The 18,364-nt window shown below is 55.2% G+C and overlaps 1 protein-coding gene across 1 annotated transcript in view, besides 3 other annotated features; it reads right to left on the reverse strand.

The window, feature by feature from the left end:
* Positions 4,468-5,063: an enhancer, noted in NCBI's record as "H3K4me1 hESC enhancer chr8:10459109-10459704 (GRCh37/hg19 assembly coordinates)". NCBI's record gives its function as "activates a minimal SCP1, AML or CMV promoter by ChIP-STARR-seq in naive H9 embryonic stem cells {active_cell/tissue: H9 hESC(naive)}" and the evidence as "EXISTENCE:reporter gene assay evidence [ECO:0000049][PMID:30033119]".
* Positions 5,064-5,658: an enhancer, noted in NCBI's record as "H3K4me1 hESC enhancer chr8:10459705-10460299 (GRCh37/hg19 assembly coordinates)". NCBI's record gives its function as "activates a minimal SCP1, AML or CMV promoter by ChIP-STARR-seq in naive H9 embryonic stem cells {active_cell/tissue: H9 hESC(naive)}" and the evidence as "EXISTENCE:reporter gene assay evidence [ECO:0000049][PMID:30033119]".
* RP1L1 (RP1 like 1) overlaps positions 9,218-18,364 on the reverse strand; it is a 48,795-nt gene continuing 39,648 nt past the window's right edge. The window contains exon 4 of the mRNA NM_178857.6: positions 9,218-16,215. Coding sequence (NP_849188.4) covers positions 9,764-16,215 — 6,452 coding nt within the window. The 3' untranslated portion in view covers positions 9,218-9,763. The remainder of the gene's footprint in view (positions 16,216-18,364) is intronic.
* Positions 15,204-15,929: an enhancer, noted in NCBI's record as "H3K27ac-H3K4me1 hESC enhancer chr8:10469845-10470570 (GRCh37/hg19 assembly coordinates)". NCBI's record gives its function as "activates a minimal SCP1, AML or CMV promoter by ChIP-STARR-seq in naive H9 embryonic stem cells {active_cell/tissue: H9 hESC(naive)}" and the evidence as "EXISTENCE:reporter gene assay evidence [ECO:0000049][PMID:30033119]".

An 18,364-nucleotide genomic window follows, 5' to 3' on the forward strand; every position in this document is an offset into this window, starting at 1 on the left:
GAGACATAGGCACCCTGGGTCACCATGCTGGTTGGGGACAGAGCTGGCATGAGAAGCCAGGCGTAGTAAGGAAGGCCATTCTGGCTGGAGAAGTGTGTGGCCTCAGGCAGAAACATCTGGAAGAGAGAAGGCCAGACTCCTCATGCTGGCCTGAATGCCCTCCCTCAGGAACCCAGGCATCCTGATAGTCCTGGGCTCTCTCTGCCACACACAGCCACGTCCCCTACAAGAAACAAGCCCGACCGATAGTGACCCTCACCTCTCTCCGACTCTCAGCCACTCCTTTCTGGGTCTGTGTTTGGGGGACCTGGTGGCTGCGTGGCCTTCAACCCAGGGACAGGCCTTGAGCTGGCGGCTGGGCTGGCTGAAGCCCCATCTTCACAAGGCCACAGGCAGGACCTCGCGGGCCTGCCCCTCATTGGCCAAAGCTCCACGTTATTCTTCTGATAGACCCTGAGGAGGTCCCACGCTTCCTCCTCCCAGTGTCGGCCACTCTACCAACACACTCACACCTTCCAAATGTGCGCCTCTCAGGTCTCCGGCCTGGGGGACATCAGAGTCCCCTCCTCAACTGGGCAGCATTTCTGTCACTCTCAGCTCCCTCTCTGCCCCACGCCAACTACCCAGAGACCATTCCGTCCCCCCAATACATGCACATAAACACATATGCACGTGTGCACACATGCACACATGTGCATGCTGTGTAACCTGTCTGTGGTTTCTCGTGATTGGACTCACCGCATCCTAAGGTCCCCTCAGCCCCCTAGCCCCAGCTCGTGACCACTAGCCATCCTAGCCCAAGCCCTACCTCCGGGAGAAGCCTCTCAGTGCTACTGTCCCCGGCCCAGGACCTCACATGGCACTTGCTGTCCAGGCCACTTCTCTGCATCTCTCCATTTCCTCAGCCACCCTCTGGGTTCGGTGCTGTCACTGTGACCCCTGGGTGCATGGAGTAGGACTGCTATTCTATTCTGTCACTTATCCATCAGGAGGGCAGTACCTGTGACCAACGAACCCCTGGGGAGTAAGAGGTGGTGCACACGGCAGGTGTGCACTGAAGTGGGGACAGGAAGGGGCAGTGCTTTCAACTGTGCGGCCTCAGCTGCTGCCACATGGCCTGACCCAGAACAGCTGCTCAGACCAGGATGCAGTGGGCACCATCTAGCTTCATAGTAGGGGTGAAGAGTTCTTGACCCAGGAGGGAATGGACTCATCTTATCCTATAGTTTTCTTTCCTCACCTTCATCTCTTGAATTCAGAACTTTTTGCAGGTTTAATTCTGATGTGCATTTGGGGAGCTCAGGTGTACTTGGAAGCTGAGGTCAAAAATGAGAAAAGACCCATTGCTACTCGATGGCAGAACAGAAGAGCTGTAAAGCATTCTCTGTACCTCTGGGTCCCCAACACTTTGGGAAGCTGCCTGTCCTGCCGGGGCCTGTCTCTCACAAGCCAACTACAATCTCACGGTGTTGGGGCAAATAGAATGCGGGGCCCAGCCTTTTCCAGGGAGATGAGTCACTTTCCAGCTCTCGCCCTTCCCACTTTTCCACTGCTTAACCCCGCGGGTGCCTGTCTCTGGCTTTGCCCTTTCTTGGAATTGTTGTGGTTGGTGGAGCTTTGGGAAGTCACCCAGTCCGTTGCTTTGCCTGGAGACAGGGTGGTGCTGAGCCAGGCTGGAGTGTTGGGGCAGTCTTGCTCCTTCTGGGATGCAGTGGGAAGGCTGAGGAATCAGGAGGGGAATGCTCAACCCCTCCTGGCTGTGGGCTCTGGGCCAGGCACCGTGACCCTGAACTTCAGTCTCTTCAGCTGTAGAGTGGAGCAGTCACTGGGGCATTGGGAGCAAGGCTATTTTTCCTCATGTGGGACAGGCCCATGTACTGCAGGATGTTTGGTATTCTGACCCCTGCAGGTAAAACAGCACCGGCGTCCCCCATCCCTGGGACGAGCAAAAACACTCGACACTTTTCCAAGACTGCCCACAGTTGGAAAACCGCAGAATCCCTGTTCCTTAGAAAAGACAGGCCGGTGGAGGGTGTCAGGTCGGGTCCTGGGGTGGGGTTGAGACACAACCTAGAAGAGTCTGGGAGGTTCTGTCCTGCAGACTGAGGGCAGGGCCCAGAGTGCAGCCCAGCGAGGCTCCGCCAGAGCAGCCAGGGGCCATGGGGCTTCGAGGAGAGATGATGGGGGTGAAGCCCAGCCCAGGGGGTGCAGGCCAGAGGACTCTTGGCCCATAGGGTTAGGGCAGGCTGTGTGGAAAAGGGAGCCCCTCCTTGGAGGAAGTGGGGTTTGGTTCAAATCCTGCCTTTGGCATCCACCTGCCGAATGTCCTTGGAGGAGTCTCTTCTGAACCTGTCTCTTCATCCAAGACAAACTTGCAGGGATGTTGTCAGGATTAAAAGTGACTCTGCACACAAAAGCCTTTGTGGTATAGATATTAAGAGTGCAATGAGTGAAGGAAAGTTGTACTGGGGAGAGGGAGGAGATTGCATCTTTAAGAACAAGGCAAAGTCCCCATGGAAGGAATTCCCAGGCAGAGCTGAGTTCCCCAGGTGAGGACCCAAGCCCAGGGGAAAAGGCAGTGGTGCAGCTCCCGGAGTGCAGACCTCAGTCAGACCCCAGCTGATCCCAGGGCTGCGTCTATACCTCTGCCCAAGGACAGGGCTGTCCTGGGGTCCGGAGGTCCCAAGGTCCTCAGCAGTGGGGCCCTGCACACATCCATGCACTCTCTAACCTGCGCCCCTGACTATTCCCTCTTCACCATCTGAGACCATGCTTGGCCTCTCTGTTTCCACACTCCTGTGGCCACCTCCATCTGGAACGTCCCCCACCGTTATCTCCCGCATCAAAGCTCGTTCCACAAGCTTGGGCCAAGCGTCACTGTCCCACTGCTTTCGGGGAGGCCCCTGCTGCCTGTAGCATCCACAGCATCCACCCACATCCTGCTCCCCTCTCACTGGAGCATATCAGCCTTGGTCTTAGGGGAAACTCCCTCACCCCCAAATAAAATGCCTCAAGTTGCTTTTCTTGGACTGACATACCCAACTGTGCTAGATAAAAGGAACACAGCGGCTGGGCGCAGCGGCTCACCCCTGTAATTACAGCACTTTGGGAGGCCGAGGTGGGCGGATCACCTGAGGTCGGAGTTTCAGACCAGCCTGGCCAACATGTTGAAACCCCGTCTCTACTAAAAATACAAAAATTAGCCTGGTGTTGTGGCGCATGCCTGTAATCTCAGCTACTCTGGAGGCTGAGGCAGGAGAATCGCTTGAACCCGGGAGGCAGAGATTGCAGTGAGCTGAGATCGTGTCACTGCACTCCAGCCTGGGTGACAGAGCTACACTCTGTCTCAAAAAGAAAGAAAGAAAAAAAGGAACAGAGTGATGACATTTGCCAACAAGGAGCTTCCGTGGTGACCAGGGGCGGCTGATGGCTTTGCAGCCTTGTCTCAGGCATCTCAACACCTCAGTGGGGTGGGGACTATTAATTTCCTCCTTTCCAGATGTAGGCAATTCAGTGAACGGCAGCTCCTGGTGCAGCCAGGCTGGAACCCCTCGGTGCACCCCAGAGCCTGCCCTCCGCCTCCCCGGTGCTGCCTCCAGGACGGGGCCTGGGCAGGGTGCACCTGAGCCACCCTCCTTGGAAAGGGAGTCAGGAGGAAACCTCCTCCTCGTCCCTGAGCTTCAGTAAAATATCTTAGTAAAAATACATTTTTTTTTCCAAGTCATTAACAATAAGGCTTTTGGTAGGCATCTGTGATGTGCAGGTCACGGTCAGCAGGCCGGCAGCAGGAGGGGCCGTGGGCAGCCCTGACCTCCAAGGCAGTGGTGTGGGCCTGTGGGCACACTCTGAGCCCAGGAAGGGGCTGGGTGCTCCACAGGGCAAAGGCCCTTTAGCCCAGGCTGGTGTGAGCCTGTGGGTGCTGTGCCCAGGACGGGCATGGAGTACTCCCTAGAGCAAAGGCCCTGCAGGCCCAGGCATCTGGTGCTGGAGTGGTGGCTTCCTGGACACTGGGAGCTGCTATGCTGGGGCAAGAGGAAGATGGGTGAAGAGGGAGGGGACAGCAGGCTAGGACAGGGGAGGGGCGGGAGGAGAGAGAAGGAGGAGGAGGGGAGGAAGGGAGGTAGGGAAATGGGGTAAGCAGAACCCAGGCTGAGGGGCTGGCCCTGGCTGGGGGTGGTGAGAGGCCCTTGGGCAGTTGCAGGCAGAAGCAGCATGGCGAGCTTTCTCTTTTCCAGAGGCAAGTGGTGGCAAGTGGTGAGGACAGAGTGGCGTGGGCAAGTCTAGATGTGGGGACACCCTGAGGAGGCAGGTGGAGGGGTTGGGAAGGCAGGAACTGCTGGGCCTGGGGCAGCTTTAGTTGATTCAGGGCTGGGAGCTGGGGGTGGGGATGGATAAGCCTGGGATGGCTGGGGGCCAGGTCTAGCCATGGGGACAAGAGCAGGCTGAGGACGAGGACAGAGGGTGCCTTCTGCTGGGTGTGTGGCTCCCAGGCAATGTGGTGAAGGGAGCTGAGAGAGATCCTGGGCCTGAGCCATGGACTTGGGAGTCCTCTGCTCAAAAGCAGGAGCAGGAACAGCAGAGCACGGATGGGCTCACCCAGGGGGCTGAGGGCAGAGGCGGGCAGTGAGTGGAGGATAGGGAGACGCCGACGTTCCCCATTCGAGGTGCCAGAAATGGGCTAGAGAGGGCCAGAGATGGTCACCAAGTTGGGATCAGTGTCTTAGGAGTGCTGGCCACCACCGTCTAGGGACATGATGACTGAGAACACTCCAGCCTTTGGAAAATAGGATCATAGCCAGCAGTGATTTGGGGCCCAGCGGGTGGTGGGGGCGGTGAGCGGAGAGGGGAGGAGAGAAAGAGGTGATGGAGGAGGCGGGCAGGGCCGGAGGGGAGTATGCTCCTCACTCACAGGGCTGCAGGGGCCTCACCCACAATCTGAGTGCCTGGGGCCATGATCACCCCAACCAGGTCTCAAAATGTGGGACCTAGGAGGGCACAGGTGGGCTCGGTCAGCCTCTCAGGGTGAGGGTTGAACCAATGGGAGGTTGGAGACCTGGTCCCTAGACGAGCGCTATGAGGCTGCCGCCCGCCGCCTGGATCTGGAGGCTCAGTTCAGACCCCAGGCCGATGACCCCAGGAGGCCAGTCCTGGCTGGATCCAGCGGAAGTCACGAAACAAGCCAGGGTCCCTCTGCTCGGGGTACTTGGTTAGTGAGAGGGAGCGAGCCCCGGCGCCTTTGCAGCCCAGGCGTGTGTCTGTGCGGGCTGAGTCCCGTCTCCATAGATGGGGGCCTGGACTGCCAGCTGTGCCTGTGGACACGGGGGCAGGAGGGTCAGAGGAGGGAGATGGCTCCGGATCCACCCTAATTGCCTCTCCGGAGAGGAAGACGGAGCGGGAGCTTGACTCTGGCTGACCCCCACTGTCCCTTGGGGAGACTACATAATGAGAGCAAGGAAGCAGCTGTCTGTGTGTGCGTGTGTGTGTGCGTGTCCGTGTGTGCGTTTTTCGGGCCGGGGCTGGTGAGAGGTGCTCAGCCCCTCCGAGGACCACACATCCTGGTGGGAGGGTGGCCCGGATGTAGAATGCAGGCAGGCGGCGGGGGTTTGTGCCCGCTTTCCTCTGGGAGCTTGGTGAAATGCACATTCCTAGGCCTCGGACACACTGGATCAGAATTTCATAAGTGGAACTGTTCATCTTAAAGCCCCGTAGGTGGTTTTCATGTTCATTTAACTGAAGGAAAAAAACCCACGGGCCTGTGAGATCTTTGAAAACCTCAGGAACCTCCCGGTTCCAAGCATGCACTTATGTTGAACGCTTCATAAGATTAAGGATGGGTCCCCTTCTCCCCTGGCCAGGCTAGACGGGCCCTTCTGGAGACACAGCCTGTCCTCGCGTGGAGACCCCAATGACGCAGGGAGTTTGAATGGAGAGGAATGGGGGCATGTGGGTGAGGGGACAACTGGTCTGGATGACAAGGGAGTGGCTTTGCTGCCTGCCTGCGTTTCTCTGCAGGGCCTCTCCTAGTTCTAGGATGGGGGATATTGAGTGAGAGATGGAGAAAGGCCTGGAATCTGGTCTGGGCTCAGCCACTCATACAGCTGTGGTGTTTTGGACTGAATCAGCCGTCACCTACCTCCACTGAACTTCAAACCCCTCCAAGAGCACTGTGCTGAAGCCCTGCCCTAGACTGATAAAGTCGGCATCTCTAGGTGTGGGGCTGGACATGGGTCTTTCGTTCTAACCCCTAAACGGTGATCCTTTTCAACTGGAGTCTCTGATCCCCACCAGCTGGACAATAGACAGGAGAAAAGGGCGTGGTTCCCTCCCCTTCCCCTTCAAGGAGAAACTCCCCTGGCCAAAAGCTTTCACATTATGCTGATACTATGTTTGCTTCGTCAGCATCTGAGTGACACATGACATGGGTTTTGATTTGGGGCAGGCTGAGGCTATAGGAATGCCAGCATTTTAAGAGATGCTGAAAGAGTGCTGTAGAGAAAGGAATCAAGGAGAAGACACAAAAATCCTCTCAGCCGATGGCCCTGAAATTCTTTATCTCCAGGTCAGAAGGAAACACAGAGTTGTCCATTAACAAATTTTTTAAATATAAACTGCAGACATACGGGGTGGGTGTGTTTGCAAACTAAAAGGAGAATCCCATGGGCAGATAACTTCATTTTAATGCAGGTAACTTTTCAGTTTAATGATCGGCTTTATAAACCCAGGTTATCTGCAGCTGCTGATATCTGTACAGAAGGAGAACATTGCTGGAGGCAGAATGGAATCAGCTGAACCAAAAATCCCATTTAATTTACTCCCCTAAGTAGTCACTACCTTGCAGTAACGTCATTCAACAAGGTGTTGGCTACCTCTAGCTAAGGTGTTTATTTACAGGATCTAAATCAAAACAAAAAAGAAAAATTATGATACAATGGAAGATGTGGACTTTGGAGTCTGAAATATCTGAGTTTAAATCCTGGCTTTGTTCCTAACTAGCTGTGTGAGTCTGGGCAAGTCTGTCTCTCTTCTAAGCCTCGGTTTCTCCATTTGTGAAATGGAACACCTACTTGCCTATTTCACAGACATGTTGAGAAGTTTAAATCTCACAAATGATCATTTATATCAAGAGTCTAGTATGATACGTGACACATTGTAGGCACTAAATACTTAGCAGTTATAATTAAAATATGCATCTATCCCCACCATGTGTGTAATAAAGTTTCATATTATCTATTTCTCAACACTACAGTGAGGAAAACATCATTTAGCCCATTTGGCAGATGCTGAAACTGAGTTGGGGGTCACTGGGACTTCAGCCCAGGCCCTTCAGCTCCAGGTCCCTCAGCTCCAGGTCCCATGCTCTTTTCATTGCATGCTGTTAACTAGAGATGGACAATGCCATTTTAATGAGGTGCCAGGTCAGTAGGTGACAGGACTGGCTGTCACTAGCATTGGGGTGGGGGTGGGGGGGCAGGGAGTGAAACAAAGGGGTTGGAGCATCTCTCAGAGAAAGAATGGGGACTTCAAATCACAGAAGAGGTGCCCGGTGGATGCTTCATGCCAGCCAGTAGTGGTGACAAGTGCTGCACGCCTCTACATGTCACCATTTCCAGAACAAGCTCACAGTGCAATCTGTTCCACTGGGGGCTTCTAGCTAAGATGCCAGTTCTGATTGACATGTGACTTGTGAGTGTAATTCTTCACCAGCCCTTCATCCAATATGAAGAAACACTACCCCCCAAATATATCATAGTTTACATTTATATAAAATTATGCTTTTATTGTAAACACCTTAAGGAATCACCTTTGCAGAACATTTTTAAAACATGTCAATTTTCTTTTTTTTTTGAGACAGAGTATCACTCTGTCACCCAGGCTGGAGTGCAGTGGCACAATCTTGGCTCACTGCAACGTCCGCCTCCTGGGTTCAAGTGATTCTCCTGCCTCAGCCTCCCGAGTAGCTCGGATTACAGGCATGCATCACCAGGCCCTGCTAATTTTTGTATTTTTAGTAGAGATGGGGTTTCACCATGTTGGCCAGGCTGGTCTCGAACTCCTGACCTCAGGTGATCTGCCTGCCTCGGCCTCCCAAAATGCTGGGATTACAGCCGTGAGCCACTATGCCTGGCACATGTCAGAATTTTTAAATAACATCTCCATTTGTAGACAGAAGACTGCAGACATGTACAGACAACAGATACCCAACCTTTGCTTTGTGTGGATACATTTAGATAACCAGGGGCAGTACCTGCCATTGTAGCACAGACTCCATTTTAATACATCTGGATGCCACAAAATGAATGCTCTGGTATATGCAGGAAAGCCAGTGAGAACCAGTCAAAGACATTCTACCCCATCCAGGAGCTCTCTACCTGCATGTGGCTCAGTCTAAGCCCTGCTTTTGAAGGGTGTGCAGAGAGGGCATTTTTAAAATCTTGCAAATGAGAAATAGAATTTAAAAAAATTTATAAAGGGCACAGGCAAATCAATTCATTAAAAGAAAAAAAAAGGTGGGATCTCAGTAGAAAAATGGGTCAAAAGCATGCACAAATCATTTATATTCAAATAGTTTTTTAAAACCTAGAAAAAATTTTAATTTCATTAGTTATCAAATTTATATCTAAGATAGTACCTCATTAAAATAAGATACTATTTTTTTGCCAATGAAATTTGCAAATGATTTTTCAATTTTAATGACAATACCAAACACTGATCATACTCTCACCGTGAGTACAGATCTTTAGAAAAAACAGTTTGGCTGCAGGATATCAAAAGCCTTAAAAATGTTGATATCCTTTGGCCTGGTAATTCCATGTCTGGGAGTCTATCCTAAGGAATTAATCAGAAGTTCAAGAAAAAAAAAAGTGTTAAGAGCAAAATAAAGGAAACCATCTAAAAGGTCAAAAATAGGAAAATGAGAAAGTATTCAATATACTCGTTAATGGCACATTATTCAGGTTTATGAATAATGTTAAGAGATAGGTTTATGATGATTCTGAGATAAATAGGGGAAATCTTTACATTGTTAAGTTTTTAAAACATATGTAAATATATATATAAAGAATCATCTCAACTGTAAAATGGTTAGGAGGAGAAGGAAATACATTCAATTGCAAACAGAAGTCTCCGAGTGACAGGATTATTTCTTCCTCTCTGCTTTTTTCTGCATTTTCCATTTTTTCATTACAAAATGTATGAATTAAGAAAAAACAACTTGGACTTTGGAGTTGAGAACAAACTTTATCCAATGACTCTGAAGTTACCTGCTTTGCCCAAGTATTTCTGCAGAGTCATCAAATATATTCAAGACTAGAAAAAAAGCACCTCAAAGTCAAATGAGGTGAGTGCCAACAGAAGCCAAGGAGAAAAGTAACAGGAGATCAACAGGGAAAAGACAGAGAGCAACACTTGCTAGCAGAAAACAAACCCACAAACAAAAGCTAAACTGGAGCCTTTCCAATCAGTTCCATCTTTCGGGCTCTGCAGACAAATAAATAGGAGCCGGGCTGACCTCCGATAACCGGGCAGATCCGCAGACACCCCCTTTCTTCACACTGCGTGTGGGACGGGCCGCAGAGCTCTCTGACACTTCTGGACTTAAGAGTCCCAGGACAGCATGGCATGGGCTGTGTCCTTGGCAAGTCCTTGGTCTTTGTCCATGTACTATGGACATCTCCAGTGGACTGAACGTTGCTCAGTTTTGTAGAAAAAATATGAATAAAAACAGAGCTCCCAAGCTCGTGATTGTTTTCTAGCTTGATCTTGTCTAGAAATCTAAGTCATCTTGGCCAAAGCCGTCTGCCCTGCCCACTGCCTCAGTGGGGGCGAGACTTCCGAGTGCCTGGTCCTCTTGTAGGTCATAACCTTCACTGGCCCCCTGCTCTGGAGTCCTTGAGCCCAAAGGGGCCTCTTCTTGCTCAGAAGTAGAACTTTCTGGGTACATCCTGGTGGCCTTCCTCTCTGCATGAGGGGTCCCCGTGGACTTGGCATCAGGGCTCCTTGTGTCTCCAAGTACATGGTCATTTTCTGAGTCTTTCTGCCAGCAGTTGCCCCAAGAGGATGCTCTGGAGGAGGAAGGGCCTGTTTGGGAGCCTGGCCTTTGGTGGGGAGTGTCTCCACCTGGGGAAGGGGGTGGAGTGGGCCTGTCCTCAGGGACTGGGCTGCTGCTTTCAGAAGCCTCCTCAGATTGGCCATCTCCTAGACTGACCTGAGGGCTCCCCTTTTTCTCACCTTGAGTTTCTCCTTCTGACTCTGGCTGGGCCTCCCCTTCAGCCTCCGGGGTCTCTACGCCTTCTGGCTCTGGCTGGGCCTCCTCTTCAGCCTCCGGGGCCTCTACACCTTCTAACTCTGGTTGGGCCTCCCCTTCTGCCTCTGGGGCCTCTATACCTTCTGACTCTGGCTGGGCCTCCCCTTCTGCCTCTGGGGCCTCTACACCTTCTAACTCTGGTTGGGCCTCCTCTTCAGCCTCCTGGGCCTCTATACCTTCTGACTCTGGCTGGGCCTCCCCTTCTGCATCCTGGGCCTCTACACCTTCTGACTCAGGCTGGGCCTCCCCTTCAGCCTCTGGGGCCTCTATACCTTCTGACTCTGGCTGGGCCTCCCCTTCAGTCTCTGGGGCCTCTATACCTTCTGCCTTCTGGGCCTCCCCTTCTGCCTCTGGGGCCTCTACACCTTCTGATTCTGGCTGGGCCTCCCCTTCTGCCTCCTGGGCATCTACATCTTCTGACTCTGGGTGGGCCTCCCCTTCTGCCTCCTGGACCTCCCCTTCAGCCTCCTGTGCCTCCTCTTCTGCCTCCGGGGCCTCTACACCGTCTGACTCTGGCTGGGCATCCCCTTCTGTCTTCTGGGTCTCCCCTTCAACCTCCTGGGCCTCTTCACCTTCTGACTTTGGCTGGGCCTCTACACCGTCTGACTCTGGCTGGGCCTCCTCTTCTGCCTCTTGCATCTCCCCTTCAGCCTCTGGGGCCTCTACATCTTCTGACTCTGGCTGGGCCTCCCCTTCTGCCTCCTGGGTCTCCACTTCAACCTCCAGGGCCTCTACATCTTCTGACTCTGGCTGGGCTTCCTCTTCTGCCTCCTGGGACTCTATAACTTCTGACTCTGGCTGGGTCTGCCCTTCTGCCTCCTGGGCCGCCTCTTCTGCCTCTTGGGCCTCTGCACCTTCTGACTCTGGCTCGTCCTCCCCTTCAGTCTCCAGGGCCTCTACACTTTCTGTCTCTGGCTGGGCCTCCTTTTCTGCCTCCGGGGCTTCTGCACCTTCTGACTCTGGCTGGACCTCCCATTCTGCCTCTGGGGTCTCTACATCTTCTGACTCTGGCTGGGCCTCTCCTTCTGCCTCTGGGGCCTCTACATCTTCTGACTCTGGCTGGGCCTCCCCTTCAGCCTCCTGGGCATCCCCTTCTGCCTCTGGGGCCTCTACACCTTCTGACTCTGGCTGGGCCTCCCCTTCAGCCTCCGGGGCCTCTATGCCTTCGGCCCCATCACTCTGTCCTGGATCTTGGTCACCTCCTGCCGCAGCTTCACCCTGCAAGTTGTCCTCATGCCCAGAGCCTTGACCCCCAGTTTCTCCCCTTTCACTTATGCCCTCTCCCTCCTGCTCAGCTTCCCCCAACTCACTGCCCGCACTGGTTTCACTGTTGTGGGTTTTCCCTTCTCTCTCCTGAGCCATTGCATCTCCCTCTGCCTCCCCGAGTTTGGGATCTTTGTCTCTGTTGAGTCTCTGGCTCCCCTCGCCATCCTCACCCTCGTCCACTCCAGGCCCCTGGCTCAGCCCCGGCCCCAGCCCTCCCTCAGCTCCCTGGACAGTCCTAGTGCTCGTGGGGTCCGTGTGGGTCTTGCCAGGGGCCACCTCTGCTGCCTCCCCATCAGTGTGTTCTCCCCTCTTCCTCTGCAGAATCTGCTGCAGGTCAAAGGCCTCTTTGATGGGACCTCTGGTTGCCCCCATTGTGGCCTTGGGGGACATAGGGCTCACTTTCTTCCTCACGCAGGCCTCGCAGGGACAGAACTCCTCCCCCTCCGCCTCCTCGCCCAGCTGGCTCCCCAGGGCTGTGCTGAGGGCTGGCTCGTCCTCCAGGGTGAAGGAGAGGGGCCCCAGGCCCAGGGTCCGCTCAGAGAAGGCCGAGAGGTTTCGCAGGCCCCGGAGACGGTGTCTGCGCTGCTGGGTCTGCAGGAGCAGCTCCCCGGTGAGGGCCTCCCTTGGAGGCTCCAGCACCATCCTACCCGCCCGGCCCTGGAGCTTCTGGAGCTCTCTCTTGGTGCTGTCCTGGAGGCGTTGGGCCACGTCCTGCTGCAGCTCGGCCGCCATCTGGTCCAGCAGATCATTGTCCTGCAGGCCCCAGCGTGCTCGGAGCTCAGCCACCGCACTGGCAAGGTGGGCCAGGAAGGCCTTCTCCGTCTTCTTCAGTAACACGGACACCCAGATGGGGTCGCAGTCCAGAGCCGCGCTGCAGGCCACCGAAGAGCTCCTCTCTGCAGCCCCCTGGGTGGGTTGGGCCTGCGTGTGCTCTTGGCCCATCATGGTGGCTCCGGGCGGCTTTTCCAAACCAGGCTCAAGCTGGGAGCCACTCTGCCTCTCGCTGGCACTTGGGTCCGTCTCGCTGAGATGACTAGGGGGCTCTGTGGGTTCCTCTGTGCCCTCTGCGGGGCACGGCTCTGCAGAGGCAGAGGCTCTTCCTGCTTCCTCCTCCTGGACTGGGTCATCTTCCTGGGAGCCTTTCCCATCCGGAGAGCTGGCCTCTGACAATTCCTGCCCGTGGACGCTTCCTTCTTCTGGAAGTCCTTCCTCTTTGAGACCCTCTTCAAGAGCCTCTCCTTGCAGTCCTCCTTCTGGCCCTTCTTTAACTTCCTCTAACTGCACCCCCTCTTCTTGCAGCCCTTCTCCTCCTGTTTCTTCAATTTCCTCTAACTGCGCCTCTTCTTCTTGCTGTCCTTCTCCTTCTGTTTCTTTAGTTTCCTCTAACTGCACCCCCTCTTCTTGCAGCCCTTCTTCTGTTTTAGTTTCCTCTAACTGCACCGCCTCTTCTTGCAGCCCTTCTCCTTCTGTTCCTTCTTTAGTTTCCTCTAATTGCACCTCTTCTTGCACTGTGTTTTCAGCTAACTGCTCCAGGTTCGAGCTCGCCCTCTGCTCCTCACTGTCTCTTTCTGCTTCATCCTCATTGGTGGCACAAGCGCAGGCTCGGGCGTTCAAGAAGGTTGGGAAACAACACTGCTGTTGGTTTTCCAGATCCCCTGGGCTCTCATAAGTTCTTGAATCAGGCCTCTGGTTGGAGGTTTTCAGGGGCAGCTCTGTCCCCTGTGTCACCAGGGTGCCGTCCATGGCACAGGGTACGCTACTCTCCCCTGAGCCTCCAGAGCCGCTGCTGATGTCCACACCAGAGGAGGATGTGGGCGTGAAGTTCTCCGTCATGGCATGGGACCCAAGGTCTGGCAGAGCCTGGCTCCATGTGAGCTCCCAGAGGCCTGAGTCCAGCTGGTCTTCCCCAACGTCACATCCTGGCCACAGGTCCTTCGAGATGCTGAGCAGCTCCTGGTACCGAGGGGAGTCTTTGAACCTCACTTTGCTGGCAGGAGACCCAAGGTCTTCCTCAAATAACTGCAGACTGGCCAGACAAGTAATGAGGGCCCCGGCTGAGCAGCTGAGCCTCCTGGCCATGGGCCTAGACACTTCGGGCACGCTGCTGGGCCGGCCCTGCTTGGAGCCCATCAGCGCCCTCATGATCTGCGTGGAGGCAGACACCCGGCCAGGAAGTGCCCGCAGGCTCACCCTGCAGCCTGCTGGGGCCTCTCTGTCTGCTCCGGCCTCTGCAGGGGCCTCGGAAACTCCCTCTGGAGCTGCCCCTTGGGGGACACCCTCTCCTGATTGGGGACCAGTGTCACTACTCCCCAGGAGGGCTCCCTCTGGCTCTGGGTCCTGGCCGGGGTCCCCTTCCAGGGACTGCTGTCCCGCCTGAGCTGGCTCCCCCAGGCCTTCCAGAGAATGGTCATCCCCAGGGTCCACCTCGGGGCCTCTCAGGCCACCCCCAGCTGCACCTGTGGTCTCGTCCGCCAACTCATATGTCATGAGTATGGGCTCTTCTGGAATGTTGTCCAGCCATTCGCGGACCACAGCCTCTGGAGACGAGCGGGGCAGAGAGCTGGGTGACACACCACTGGCCTCCTCCTGCCCCTGGGGGCCTCCCCCACTCCTCAAGGTCTTCTCCTCGGACAGCCCCCGAGACCCCGCACCCTGGCTGGCACTGCTTCTCCTTGATGCCCCTGAATTGGGGCCTGGGGACGGCGTGGGGCCTGGCTGGCGTGTCCCCTCCTGCGGGCTCCCACCTGGCCCCCGGGCAGTGCTTTGGTGGCTGCTGCCGGTGCTCCCACAGCTGGAAGAGCGCCTCTGGGGGCAGGGCCGCCCCCTGGGCGGGGTGGGACAGTACCTGCCACACAGCCAGCTAGCCTCAGGGGAGGGTCCCCGCTGGGCCTCTTGGGCCGGCTGCGTCCCAGGCTGTGAGCAGCAGTGGCTTCGGTGGGGGCCCACCGCCCCTTGCTCAGGCCGTCCAACCTGCAGAACCAAGGGTGAGGAGGGCTGAGGCGTGTCCCTGGCCTCTTCCCCCAGGCTGGCAGCCCCAGATTTTGAGCAGGAGTCGGATGTGTGGGGAGGTATGGGGGCCGGCGAGCATGTCCTGGACCCCGCGTCCCCTGCCCACCCGGCAGAGGGAGCGTTGTGCGGGGAGACTCCAGAAACAAAATCCGAGTGGACTGCAGGGGTGACAGTGGCACTGCTGGTTCCCAGAAGGTCCTGGGAAGGAAGAGAGCCCGAGGAGGGAGGTCTCAGGTTCCCAGAGGCCTGTGTCCTGGTGCTCGATGAGCTTCCAGAATATCGTGGCACTGAGCCATCCTGGCAGGCCCTTCGCCGCTCAGGAGGCCTCGGCACTTGCTTGGTTACAGAGGAGTCCAGTGGGCTGTGGGTGTCCTTGCGGTAGTGAGAATGCCTGGGATGGCCTCTCGGGGCCACTCGGCCAAGGCCAGGGCTGCTGGGTGAGGACATTGCACTGGCCCGGCTTCTGTGCCTTCTCTGCCCCTGCTGGGATGAAGTGCAGGTGGAAGGGGTGGAAGAGGCTCCTTCCGAGTCCCAGGAGCAGGAAAGGCCCAGAACCAGAGGCTCCCTTGTCACAGCCGCTCCCGTGGCCTGCTCGGTGCCCTGTCCTTGCGTCTCTGCCTGCAGGTCGTCACTCCTTAAAGATGAAAGACTCAGGGCTGGAGAAGCGGGGTCGCCTCCCTCGCTGGCCTCCTGCTGAGAGGTCTCGGCCCTTGCCTTGCCTGGACAGCCCTGGGGCCGCCCACCCCATTCGCTGGATCCCTCATGAGAGCCGGTGCTGGCTGACGAGTCCGAAGAAGCCCCCTCCTCACTCCGGGCCCTCGGTGTCAGGCGGCCGCCTTGCTCTGGGCCGCCCAGCCCTGCTCCATCTATGCATAGGCCGGGGTCCTCACCCAGGCTCCCTCCAGCTTTCCGCTCAGCCCCTATCTGGGCAGAGGGGCTGGCACTGTCCACCCCGTCCTCCGGGGTCCTGGGGCAGCAGGAGGACTCTGGCTCCGAGCCCTCGGGGAGGCCGGTGCTGGAGGCTGGGCTGGCACTGTCCTGGCTGCATCTCTCCCTCCCGGCAGTCCCGTGGCCCCACAGGCCACTGCAGCGGACGTGCTGGGCCAGTCCCCACCTCTTCCGAGCTGCCACTCTCTCTCCCTGGGAGGCATGCAGGGGATTCGTCCAGATTTCATACTTGGGCCCTGGCTGCCCGCCTCGGCCAAAGACTTCCCTGCATCCCACCCTGCAGGGCCGGGGTCCCCACACCCCAGGCTCTGAGAAGCCCCAAGGGTAGCCCTCCCACACACAGCAGAGGGGGTCTACCTCCCCCAGAACGGGGTCTTCCCCACTGGCTGCCGTGAGGGCGCTGGCCCTGCCCATCCTCCGGGACCATAGGAGCGTGTCCTCGCCGACCAGGTGGAAGCGGACTTTCATCTCCACGGACAGGCTGCCGTCCTCATTCATGCGGACCTTCTTCTTCATGTCATCGCCAGCCACCAGCGGGCCCGACTGAGCTGGCGTGTCCTGAGGGTGCCTGCCAGGAGCAGGGCCCACCGGGGGGTTGCTAGGACCAGGCCTTTCTGGCAGCCGTGGCGTGCTGCCTGGCGGAGACCGCGAATGGATCACACTCGGCTTGGTCTTTGGCCCCCAGCTCCCTGGCACGCAGTGAAGAGGAAAAGAAAAGAAGAAAAGACTGTGAGCCATGGGGGCAGCATCAGGATAAAGGAATAAAACAGTCACGAGCCTCCCACGACCTCAGCATCACCACTGCCTCCAAAATGCACGGTGACAGCTGTGCGCGGTGGCTCAGGCCTGTAATCCAAGCACTTTGGGAGGCCGAGGCGGGAGGACTGCTTGAGCTCAGGGTTTCAAGACCAGCCTGGACAACTTAGTGAGACACCATCTCTCCAAAAAAAAAAAAAAAAAAAAAAAAGTAAAGAAATAATTACCTAAGCATGGTAGTATGCCCCTACAGTCCCAGCTTCCTAGCTACTCGGAAGGCTGAGGCAGGAGAATCCCCTGAGTCCCAGAGTTGGAGGCTGCAGTGAGCTATGCACCACTGCGCTCCAGCCTGGATGACAGAGCAAGACCATTAAAAAAAGAAAAGAAAAAAAAAAGCATGATAAGGGCAGAGCTATTCTAGAATGACCATCCACAGAGCTACCAGTCTGTGAACTGGCATTGTCTAACAAGGAGAACTTCAGTCTGAATTCAATCTCAACTCTGCTGCTTACTAGCTGCGTAGTTTTTGGCAGAGCCTGTTTTCTGAACCGTAAAATAAGCATAATAATATTGATTGGTTCGGTTCGTATTGATGCATGGCTGTGCATATAAAACTTCCTTTATAGTTGCTAGCACATAGTAGGCTCTCGAGAGATGGCAGACTTGGCAGGCAGAGTGGCAGTGCCCAGATCTTGCTCCTGGCCCTCCTCATGCCCACACCCAGCACAGCAGGTGAAATCAATAAACTGCTGCATATGACCCTGACTGTAAACTGTTATATTCTCTGTGATTATTAGTGGTGATTTATCACCCTAAGCCTCATCAAGCTCCTGGTTGATAAATGGCTGCAGGGAAGGACCTGGGCGAACCATCTCAGGTCCTGCTAGTCAAGCCTGCACCCCAGCCATGAAGAAGAGAAGAAAGGGCTGCTAAGGATGCAAAGGAGTGGCTCTAAGAAAGAATGAGCCAGGCGTGATAGCTCACGCCTGTAATCCCAACACTTTGGGAGGCCGAGGCAGGCGGATCACCTGAGGTCAGGAGTTCAAGACCAGCCTGGCCAACATGGGGAAACCCCATCTCTACTAAAAGCACAAAAAAATAGCTGGGCGTGGTTGTGGGAGACTGTAATCCCAGCCACTCGGGAGGCTGAGGCACAAAAATCACTTGAACCCGAGAGGCGGAGGTTGCAGTGAGCCTAGATCGCATCACTGCACTCCAGCCTGGGTGACAGGGTAAGATTCTGTCGTCAAAAAAAAAAAAAAAAAAGAAAAGAAAAAAGAAAGGAGGGAAGGAAGGAAGGAAGGAAAAAAAAAAGAAAGAAAGAACAAATGAATGAAGCCCCCAAGGGCTTTCAAATTCCATCTCCTGGGGGGAGGGGGAAGGGATAGCATTAGGAGATATACCTAATGTAAATGACGAGTTAATGGGTGCAGCACACCAACATGGCACATGTATACATATGTAACAAACCTGCATGTTGTGCACATGTACCCTAAAACTTAAAGTATAATAAAAATAAATAAATAAAAACAAATTCCATCTCCTGAGCCAACATGTGGCAAAAGGGTAGGGCTAGCAGAGGCTGAGCATATGGCCAGCAAAAGAACCCCAGGTGCACATCTGGGCAGAAGATGGCTTTGCCCAGTCCTGGCCCTCCACAGGGACCAAATGAGACTGGACACTCCTCCAGGGAGGGACCCAGAGTAAACTGTCCTTGTGCCTCCAGTGCCTGACCCACAGTGATCACCGAGCCTGTCCCTTGGGCCTCCAGCACCTGACCTACAGTGATCACTGAGCCTGTGCTTGTTGGTGTTTCTGAGCTTTTCACAAAGGATAGTACTTTGTTTACTCGCCAAATTTTTCCATCATCAGACTGCATTTGTTAATTGTGCTTTTAAAAATAAGTGTGTGTAGTTTTAAAAAAATAACATAGTCCAGACTGTGGCTCTTTGGCTGGATATATGGTTGGTTGTATGGATGGATGGATAATCTGTGGTCATGGTTAGTTTTAGTCCCTTTGACCCCCATGCAGGCCACCACTGTTGCCTGAGACCATCGTGACCCTGAAAGGATGCAACGCCA

The sequence above is a fragment of the Homo sapiens genome, chromosome 8 (genome assembly GCF_000001405.40).
Source record: "Homo sapiens chromosome 8, GRCh38.p14 Primary Assembly".
Lineage (NCBI taxonomy): Eukaryota > Metazoa > Chordata > Mammalia > Primates > Hominidae > Homo > Homo sapiens.